This window comes from Homo sapiens, chromosome 21 (genome assembly GCF_000001405.40).
Source record: "Homo sapiens chromosome 21, GRCh38.p14 Primary Assembly".
Taxonomy (NCBI): Eukaryota; Metazoa; Chordata; class Mammalia; order Primates; family Hominidae; genus Homo; species Homo sapiens.
In genome coordinates this window covers 32,529,853-32,541,218 of record NC_000021.9, presented here as the reverse complement: position 1 = coordinate 32,541,218, position 11,366 = coordinate 32,529,853, and the positions used below count along the sequence as shown (strand labels likewise).

The 11,366-nt window shown below is 45.4% G+C and overlaps 1 annotated feature.

The window, feature by feature from the left end:
- Positions 7,879-8,380: an enhancer, noted in NCBI's record as "H3K4me1 hESC enhancer chr21:33905149-33905650 (GRCh37/hg19 assembly coordinates)". NCBI's record gives its function as "activates a minimal SCP1, AML or CMV promoter by ChIP-STARR-seq in primed H9 embryonic stem cells {active_cell/tissue: H9 hESC(primed)}" and the evidence as "EXISTENCE:reporter gene assay evidence [ECO:0000049][PMID:30033119]".

The window sequence follows — 11,366 nt, the reverse complement described above, 5'->3', positions numbered from 1 at the left end:
TTGGGATATCCTGATACCTTCACTCATCATGTCCCCCTAGTTTCCACCAATCTGTGATAGCTTCTCTGTACTTTCTTGTCTTTCATGACTTTAGATGTTTTGAAGAGTAGTGGTCAGGTGTTTTGTAGAATGCCCTTAACTTGGGTTTATCTGATGGTTTCTCATAAACATTCTGAGGCTGTGGATTTTGGAGAAGAACACCACAGAGGTGATAGGCCCTTCTCATTGTATCATGTTAGTGGGCGTATAATGTCAGCATGACTGCAGGTAACATTAACTTTGATCACCTGGCTAATGTGATGTCTGTTAGGTTTCCCCACTGTCAAGTTACAATTTTCCTCTTTCTGTCATCTATTCATAAAAGCAGGTCACTAAGTCCAGTCTATACTTGAGTATGAAAGTCATGTTTTTTTTTTTGTTTGTTTTTTTTTTGGGGACGGAGTCTTGCTCTGTCACCCAGACTGGAGTGCAGTGGCGCAATCTCAGCTCACTGCAAGCTCTGCCTCCCGGGTTCATGCCATTCTCCTCTGCCTCAGCTTCCCGAGTAGCTGGGACTACAGGCGCCCGCCAACACGCCCGGCTAATTTTTTTTTGTGTTTTTTTAGTAGAGATGGGGTTTCACAGTGTTAGCTGGGATGGTTTCGATCTCCTGACCTCGTGATCCGCCCGCTTTGGCCTCCCAAAGTGCTGGGATTACAGGCGTGAGCCATTGCGCCCGGCCCAAAGTCATGTTTTAAAACCATAAGAGTGGTTAGTAAATTTAGGAAGGGATACAAATATGATGCAAATATCTTGTTACTCCTTAAGGTTCAATCACTAATTTTAGCAATTATCAATTAGTCTTGCCCGTAGCAATGATATCTGTGGTGTTCCAGTGGCGATTCCCTGTTTCTCCAATTCTCTCTACATTTATTAATTGGATTTCTTATGTAAGAAAGATTGGTCCTCCTTCTTTTGTTTATTTATTTATTTATTTATATCAGTATGTGCTGATGGATATTTATTTTATTCTTTAGATGATAATTCAATACGATTGAAATTTATTATGGTGCTCAAATTATATTAGCTCAGGCCACTGGGAGCTTTATTAGATTGATTCTTGGGTCTTTCTGATGTGCCCTCATCTTAAAAACACATTCTTGGGGGGTACTTTCCTACTTTCTGATACTATGCTACATTCCAGGGTCACTGCGATGAGCAAAGTAATTTCCTATTACTTGGCTTATTGAAGATGTAACTTTAGCCTACATGGAAAAAGAAATAGACAATTTATAAAAACAGATACGATACAAAACAAAGCTTTAAATATGAGTACAACACCCTATTCTGCTTTGTTTGGGAGCTGAGAATGACAGTTGTTAAGCCAGACCTTTTCTGTTGCTACACATGTGAACGGGAGGACATCTCAGAGGTGATGCCGTGCTGACAACCAGGTGTGATTCCCTCACAATGTACAAGCACTGGGCATTTCAGAGGTGACTTTGTGCTGTCCTTACCATGTAGAGGTAGGCACTGGGCATCTCAGGGGTGACCTTGTGTTTACAACCAGGTGTGCTGCCCTCATCATGCACAGGTAGGCGATGAACATCTCAGGGTGGACCCCATCCTGATCACCAGGTGTGCTCTCCTCACTGTGCACAGGTTGGGGCTGGACATAGCAGGGACCCAGGTGTGTGCAAGGTGCAGCGTTTGTTCCATGGGGAGGACCTGCAGGTCCGTCCAGCTCCCCATTCCTGTCCTCAGAAACTCACTGGGGCGCAATGCCTGTAGGGCAAAAAGCTGCTTGTGTGCTGTGATGTGAACCTCAGGGTGACTCCAAACGTGATCGTGCTCCATGTTCTGTTAGGCTGCTGTCAATAAATGCAATAAATGTGTGAACAATTCCTCGTAGATGTCTTTGGATATTTTTATGTCTGTGCCTCCTCTTTCGGCAATGAGTTCCATAAGTTTACTCTTCGTTATATAAATTACTTTCTTTAATTTGTCCTCAGTATAAATCAGACATGTTAAACATGACTCTGAGGTTTTCTCTTTGTCCTTATGTTCTGGGAGCTGACACCTTCAAAGTGAAGGAGACTTGTTTTTTCTCAAAATGAATGCATGTACTCTTTTATTTTTAATTGTGATGAGACATATGTAACATAAAACTTACCATTTTAACATTTTAAGAGTACAGCCCTGTGGCATTAGGTAAATTCACAATTTTGTGCAACCATCATCACCACCATCCAATTCCAGAACTTTTTCATCCTGACCAGAATCTCTGGACCCATTAAACACTAGCTCATCATTTCTCTCTTCCCCAAGACTCTAGCAAAAGTCATTCTACTTTTTGTTTCCATGGATTTTTTAAATTGACATGTAATAATTGTAGATATTTATGGGGTAAAGTGTGATGTATTGGTGCATGGGTACCGTGTGTAATAATCAAATCAGTCTAATTAGCATATCCATGACCTCAAACAGTTATCATTTGTTTGTGTTGAAAGCATTCAAAATCCTCTCTTCTAGCTGCTTGAAAATATACAGTAAATTACTCACCCCATGAGAAGACCAAAACTTCTTCCTTTCTAATTGTAGCTTTGTTCATGTTAACCAAGCTCCCCACCGCCAGCACCTCACTCCCCTGCTGTTTCCTGTAACCACTGTTCTATTCACCAAGTCTGTGAGCTCTTCTTTAGCTTCCGCATATAAGTGAGACCATGTGTTGTCACTCAACAGAGCGAGACTCCATCTCAAAAAAATAAATAAATAAATAAATAAATGTTTGCCATCATTAAAATTTGTTTTAGCCGTTTTCAGGGACCTTAACATCTTCAACGTCCTTAAGGCTCATAATGTGGCTTTTTTTTTAGAGGGAGTCTCGTTGTCGCTCAGGCTGGAGTGCAGTGGCGCCATCTCTGCTCACTGCAGCCTCCATCTCCCAGGTTCAAGCGATTCTCCTGCCCCAGCCTCCCAAGTAGCTAGGATTACAGGAGCCCGCCACCATGCTCAACTAATTTTGGTATTTTTTAGTAGAGACGGGGTTTCACCATATTGGTCAGGCTGGTTTCAAACTCCTGACCTCAGGTGATCCACCCGCCTCAGCCTCCCAAAGTGCTGGGATTACAGGTGTGAGCCAACATGCCCAGCCTACTATTGCCAGTTTTTAAAATATATCTGCACAAACACAATCAGGTAAGCAGATTCACTGACTGGCTAACTTTAAAAATTTTGAAGTTAATTGCAGAACTATAGCAAATAGGATAATTACAATGTATTTTGCCCAAAGAAAGTAACTTACTAAAATATATAAATATAACTTCATTTATGTAACAAGTAAATAAATAAACAAAATGGCATACTAAAACATTCTCTCTTGATACCCCTCCTCTCACTATTGCTTCACTTATCTGTGCCTCTTTATAGAAGAATAACTTTCATAGATAACTTTAGGACAGTGGCCCACACCTGCTGTTTCCTCCCTTCTTCTCCTGATCCTACTCCAGCTGGCTCTGGTCCACATTACTCACATGCACACCACCTCACAAAAGTGGCTCTGGCCAAGGTCACTGCTGGCCTTCATGCTGTTGGATCCAGTGGTCCGTCACCTGCATGAGTTCTCAGCAACACTCAATGCAGCCTCGCGAGTAGCTGGGATTACAGGTATGCACCACCACACCTGCTAATTTTTGTATTTTTAGTAGAGATGGGGTTTCACCATGTTGGCCAGGATGACCTCAGGTGATCCGCCCACCTTGGCCTCTCAAAATGCTGCGATTACAAGCATGAGCCACCGCGCCCGGCCAGTTTGTGGCAATTTGTTACAGCAGTCACAGGAAACAAATACAGAGCCCAAAGTCTAAGTCCTTCACAGGGACCCACCCCCTACCCCCAACCCATCTTCTCTCATGATCTTCTGCAAATAGGCTGGGTGTCCCCAGGACCTTGGCACACACCATCCCTTTTCCTGGAGCTCTCTTTCCACCCTTCTTAAGGCTTGCTCCTTTGATTCCTCCTGGTTTCTGCTCAAATGCTGTCTTATTAAAGAGACCTTCACTGGCCATTTTGATAAAATACCACCCACCCCCCAGAAAAGTGCACAATGTGGGCAGGACTTTTTCTGTTTAGTTCACTTCATAGGATGGCACTTGGTATGGACACACCCATCCTTCCTTCCTTCCTCACTCCCTCCCTTCCTTTTCTTCCTCCTTCTCTTTCTTTCTCTTTCTTTCCTTTTCTTTCTTTCTTTCTTTCTCTTTTCTTTCTTTTTTGTTTCTTTCTCTTTCTTCTTTCTTTCTTCTCTTTCTTTTCTCTCTTTCTCTTTCTTTCTTTCCTTTCTTTTTCTTTCTTTCTATCTTTTGAGACACTGTCTTGCTCAGTGGCCCAGGCTGAAGTGCAGTGGCACAATTACAGCTCACTGTAACTTTAACCTCCTGGGCTCAAACAATCCTCCTGCCTCAGCCTCTCAAGTACCTGGGACTACAGGTGCATGCCATCGTGCCATGCGAATTTTAAAAACTTTTTTTTGCAGAGATGGGGTCTCACTATATTGCCCAAGCTGGTCTTGAACTCCTGGCCTCAAACAGTCCTCCTGCCTCAGCCTCCCAAAGTGTTGGGATTACAGGCATGAGCCACTGCTCTCGGCCCCCACTCAATTTTTTTAAAAATTCATATTGGATAAAGGACTGGTATTTAAAAAAAATATAAAGAACCCTTAAAACCCAACTATAGGCCAGGCGTGGTGGCTCACGCCTGTAATCCCAGCACTTTAGGAGGCCCAGGCGGGCAGATCATGAGGTCAGGAGATCAAGACCATCCTGGCCAACATGGTGAAACCCTGTGTCCACTAAAATGCAAAAAATTAGCTGGGCATGGTGGTGCATGCCTGTAGTCCCAGCTACTTGGGAGGCTGAGGCAGGGGAATCACTTAAACCCGGGAGGGGGAGGTTGCAGTGAGCCGAGATCAAGCCACTGCACTCCAGCCTGGGCAACAGAACAAGACTCCGTCTCAAAAAAACCCAACCAAACAAACAAGCAAAAAAAACCAACAATAAGAAAACAAATAACCCAATTTAAAAATGAGCAAAATATCTGACCCTATCAAAGAAGTTGTACAGATGGCAAATGAAAAAAAGTATTTATTGAATGAATAAACGAATGGGATTTAATGAGTTAGGACACTTTTTCATCTCTCCAATTCTTTTAGGATCTTGTCTGGGTCCTTTTATTGTTCAGTTCCTGCCTACCCCACCCGCTCCATGTGCCTGTGTCCCTGCACGACCAACACCATGCATCTCATTTAATTTGGTCTGTTTTCCGTGGATACTCTTGTGTATACCGGGTTTTCCCAGAATGGCCTCACTGCAGGGTGGAAAGGACTGCAGGCTCCATCCTAGTGGGACGGACTCAGGCAATTGACATGGGGCTGGTGGCTGGGCCAGCCATTGGCAGAGCCACGCAAGGGCTGGGTTTCATAGTGTTAGTGATTAATTCTGCAAGTATGAATATGAATGTTTATATATGTATACACATATATATTTAAATTGTAGTAAAATACACATAAAATTTATCATCTTAAACTTTTTTTTTTTTTTGAGACAGGGTAACGCTCTGTCACCTAGGCTGCAGTGGAGTGGCACAATCACACCTCACTGCAACCTCAACCTCCCAGGGTCAAGCCGTTCCCCCACCTCAGTTTCCTGAGTAGCTGGGACTACAGGTGTATGCCACCGTGCCCCACTCATTTTTTGATTTTTTGTAGAGATGAGGTCCCACTATGTTGCCAAGGCTGGTCTCGAACTCTTGGGCTTAAACAATCCTCCTGCCCCGGCCTCCCAAAGTGCTGGGATTACAGGTGTGAGCCATTGCGCCCGGCATCTGAACCATTTTTCGGTGTACAGTTCAGTAGTGTTAAGTACATTTACATTGTTGTACAAACCATCCCAGAACTTTTGCAACTTGCAAAACTAAGACTCTGTTTCCATTAAACATTAACTCCTCATTTCCTCCCATCTACCCCCACAGTCCCCGGCAAGCTCTGTTCCACTTTCTGCCTCTATGGATTTGACTCCTCCAGATACCTCTTATAAGTGGCACACACAAACAAACACACACACACACACACAATTTGTCCTCTTGTGACTGGCTCATTTCATTTAGCATAATGGCCTAAGTTTCATCTGTGTTGGAGTATGTGTCAGAATTTCCTTCCTTTTTATTTATTTATTTGTTTTTGAGATGGAGTCTCACTCTGTTGCCCAGGTTGGAGTGCAGGTGTGCAATCTCAGCTCACTGCAACCTCTGTCTCCCTGGTTCAAACAGTTCTCCCTCAGCCTCCCAAGTAGCTAGGACTATAGGCACATACCATCATGCCTGGCTAATTTTTGTATTTTTAGCAGAGATGGGGTTTCACCATGTTGGTCAGGCTGGTCTCGAACTCTTGACCTCAAGTGATCCGCCCACCTTGGCCTCCCAAAGTGCTGGGTTCATAGATGTGGGCCGCTGCACCTGGCCTTCCTTCCTTTTTAAAGATGGGTAATACTCCATTGTATGGATACACCACATTTTGTTTCTCTGTCTATCCGTGGATGGACACTTGGGTCGCTTCCACCTTTTGGCTATTTGAGTAATGCTGGTGTGTTAATGCTGATATTTTTAGATGTAGGAATCACACAGTTTAGCACATGCTATCAGATGGTTTTATATATATATATATATATATATATATATATATATATATATATATATATATAACTTTCACTGTTTTCCTAGATAAGCCTTAGAAAACAGGATTTTAAGAAGATAGTACGTCCTGTGAGCTCCCTGGCAGGGGTCCAGAGGACTGATTTGGGGAGCCGCTGTGTGGGACTTTCCGAGGCTTTTGAGGGTGATGGGCAGACACTGGCGCTGACTAGGAGTGAATAATTTTCAGGACTGAGGTGACCTGGGCCTTTTCCAGAGAAACAACCCGGGTCATAGCGGGGGCTCTGAGTCCAGGGCCTAGCCAGGTAAGCACAGAGATGCCGCCCTCCATTGCCCACCTCCTCCCGGGTTTCCTTTTCATGAAAGCTGGGAAAACTTTCTGTGTATTCTGTGTGGATGAACTACCTACTGGTGATGAGAGAGAGATCAGAGAAAGGAAAACTTTCCACTTTATCAACCAAACCCAGCCTTTCCCAGCAAGCAGAGAGAGGGGCAGGGAGCATGCCTGGCGGGGCTAGAACAACGGGCACATCCTAGGGGAACAGCAGCTACCATTTACTGGGGGCTACCACGCTTGGGTCCTGTGGGGCACTTCGCATTCCTTACCTTGTTTACTTCTCACAGCAGCCTTGTGTGGTCTCCATTTTACAGATGAGCAAATGGAGGCAGAAATGGTGCCCAGAAAGTCACCAAGGTGTCACCGCTACCAAGTGGCAGAGGCAGGATTGGAACCCAGGTTAACTGAAGCCAGTGTGACCCCATGCTGGCCGGCCTCTGTTCAAACATACACATGTCAATCTGTAAGGCAGAAACAACATCCCACAGGGGCCAGTTTGCAATGTGGTCTTGAGAGAGAAATAGCATACGCACGCACACATGCATGTATGTGTACACACACATACACACGCACACACACATGTGAGCATGCAGACACACAGACATGTACACACGCATGCACGAGCACACAGACACACAGGCATGCACACATGCATGCATGAGCAGACACACATAGGCATGCACACACACGCACAGACACATAGACATGCACACACACATGCACAGCACACACACAGGCACGCACACAGTCATGCACAAGCACACACAGACATACATAGGCATGTACACACAGATGCACAAGCACACACACACATAGGCATGCATGCACAAGCACACACAGACACACATAGGCGTGCACACATGCACGCACAAGCACACACAGAGACACACAGTCATGCACACACATGCATGAGCACACACAGACACATGTATGCAGGCACACACATGCACACACAGAGACACATATCATGCACACACACATGCACACACAGACTCAGCATGCACACACACATGCACACACAGACACATAGCATGCACACACAGGCACACATGCATGCACACACACATGGACGAGCACAGAGAGACACACATAGGCATGCACACAGACATGCACAAGCACACACAGACACACACATGCAGGCACGTGCATTTTGTTTGTCCTGCAAGCAGCCATTGATTCTGATGGAAGGAATGAGTGAGCAAATGAAAAGGTGAAAGCCCTGTTCATGCAGCTCTGGTGCAGGATCGTCTTTGTGAGCGCGAGAACGTGGTGCCCTGTCTTGGCAGCAGTGAGGGCTGGAATTTGAAGGTGCTGATTGATCCTTCCACCCCAGCCCCTGTGAATGCATCCTGTGTGAGATCCAGACACCTCCTCGTGCTGGATTCAGGATGGGGAGACAAAGCTGGAACAAATGACAGCTGTGCTTGAGAAGGAGCATGTAGACACCCCCTCACCCACCCCTCGGGAATGAAGGTGTGGGAATCTGTGGTTCCTGTGAACTCTGAGCAGATAGAATCACCTGGGATATGGTGGGAGCCCATGGACTAGACCCTTCCAGAACCCAGCCAAGTTGGCTGACCGGCCTGGCCACCTCCACAAATGCCACATTCCCCTTTGTTTCTTCTGGGGTCACATTCCTGGAAGCACTGAATATGTCAACCTGGCATTTCATAGTTCAGCCATCCAAGCACAGAAAAGGGCATGATCCCAGGCTGAAAAGGTGTATTTTATATTCACACACTTGACTTTCAAGGCCCCGAATGAATTTTGCTGAAATAAATATTCACCTTTGGGTTTCATCCAACTATGATAAGTTTTAGTCCCAAGAAGTCTTTTCTTTTCCTTTCTCTCTTTTTAAAAGAATATTAAAAGTGACTGAAAAGAAGGATTTAGAAATGAATGGCTGTTTTTCAACATGTCTTATACAATGAAAAGGAGTAAATGCTATAATATTTCTTAGAGAAATGGATTTAAGCAAAATCAGATTTAGAACCCGGTGGCTGTTTATTGCAATGTGAGACAAATGTCCTTGCAGGTCTCAGTATAATGTCCTTGCAGACCTCAGTATTCAAACTTGAGCTGTCAGAAGGGAGGTGAGAATTAGGATGGTTGCCCATCCCGTATTGCCTAAGACTACTACCCTCATTGTAGCACTAACCCATTCATCCCTCACAAACCAGAATGATTGGTGTTCCTGGTTGAAATTACTATAGCTATAAGAAGTACTCACAGGAACTCACATAACCCAGTCCAGGTGACCAATTCCTTCCTTCCTTCTTTCCTTCCTTCTTTCCTTCCTTCCTTCCTTCCTTCCTTCCTTCCTTCCTTCCTTCCTTCCTCCCTCCCTCCCTCCCTCCCTCCCTCCCTCCCTCCCTCCCTGTCTCACTCTGTCACCCAGGCTGGAATGCAGTGTTTCAACCTTGGATCACTGCAAACTTCACCTCCCTGGCTGAAGCAATCCTCCCACCTCAGCCTTCCGAGTAGTTGGGACTACAAGTGCGCGGTAGTGCTCAGCTAATTTTTTGTACTTTGGGTAGAGATAGGGTTTCACCATGTTGCCCAGGCTGGTCTCAAACTCCTGAGCTCAGCCTCCCAAAGTGCTGGCATTACAGGCATGAGCTGACATGCCCAGCCTACCAATTTTCACCTCACTTCATGTTGCATCTACATCACGAATTGTGCGCAATGCCAAATGCAGGTATTTGTGAGGGCTGTAGAAATCAAACCCTGTTTCCCATCCTAGCTCTAAAGTAACTAGCAACCACCTCTCACCTTCAGGATGGAGAGAGCTGACAATGGAGATTAAGGCTGAGATATGTGGCAATGAAGGGCTTCCTTAGATCAGCGGCAGAATGAGACGCAGGCAGCTGTGGCCAATCACAGGCCTCACCAACTGATGGAAGGTCCTGGGCTTTGCCTTCTTCATGTGAATATTCCTAGTGCCTGGCCTGGTCCCTGACAGAAAGCACTCCTTAAAAAGTAGCTGTTGTACTGAAGGAAACTGTTGTGGCAAAAATGCAAAAAGGAGTTGTATTAGTCCGTTTTCACACTGCTGATAAAGACATAGCCAAGACTGGGCAATTTACAAAAGAAAGAAGTTTATTAGACTTACAGTTCCACATGGCTGGGGAGGCCTCACAATCATGGCGGGAGGCAAGGAGGAGCAAGTCACATCTTACATGGATGGCGGCAGGCAAAGAGAGAGCTTGTGCCGAGAAACTTCCCCTTAAAAAGTGATCAGATCTCATGAGACTTATTCACTATCACGAGAACAGCACAGGAAAGACCAGCCCCCATGATTTAATTGCCTCCCACCGGGTCCCTCCCCCATCACATGGGAATTCAAGATGAGATTTGGGTGGGGACACAGCCAAACCGTAACAGGAGTGTGTTTGTGCATGTGTGTGTATCTGCATGTTCTGTGCATGTGTGTGTGTCTGCGTGCTCTGTGCATGTGTGTGTACCTATCTACATGTTCTGTGCATGCATGTGTCTGTATGTTCTGTGCATGGTGTGTGTGTGTCTATATGTGTATTGTATGTGCACCAGTGCCCACCTGCTCCTGGCTTTTTTGGTACCACCTCCAGGAATCTCTGCATCAACAGGTCTCCTGAGAGCTCACAGTTGGAAGCTGATGTGACTGGGCATAGTCAGTGTTCTTCAACTGATGCTGTGCCCTGGACCAGCTGAGAGCTGATGCAGAGGCTGCTCTGCAGGCCACCCTTCCTCTGGGGCAGCTTTGCGGGCCTCAGAGGTGGAGGTGCTCCAGGCACATCTACCCAAAAGCATCCTATTGGAGCCAGATTGCTGCATTCCAGGCCCCACCTAGTTGAGGTTATGTTAGCCGTCTGCCATCTTTACTGCTCTACTTCTTGTAGCCAGCTCTGGCTCATGGCAGCTGATGGTTAAACATTCAGGAATTTTTGCAAATTGGTTGTTAAACACAGTCACCATGAAATACTAAATTACAGAAGCTTACAATTAAATAGATTATATTAGGCACAAAGGCTGTCAATTCTCAAAACTCAACATTTCCTAATTATTTCACCTTATTTTACTATTGTCTTGAGGTCATTGACATTGATTGTACCTGTAGGGTAGAAACACTATATGAAGGACGTTGTGTTACACTCGCGTTGGCCAAGGAGGGAGTATTTACACCACAGAAATTGGCAGATGCTACAAATCAGCACTTCTCTGCCCACACCTGGGGTTGCTGGTTGTTACAGCTTTTCCAGCAACTCCTGGCCTCCACCCAGCATGGTGTCTGGCACAGAGCAGGGCTCAGCTCGTGCTTTGTACATACAGTTCCTTGAGTCATCCCAGTGTGAATGTGTCCCCTGCT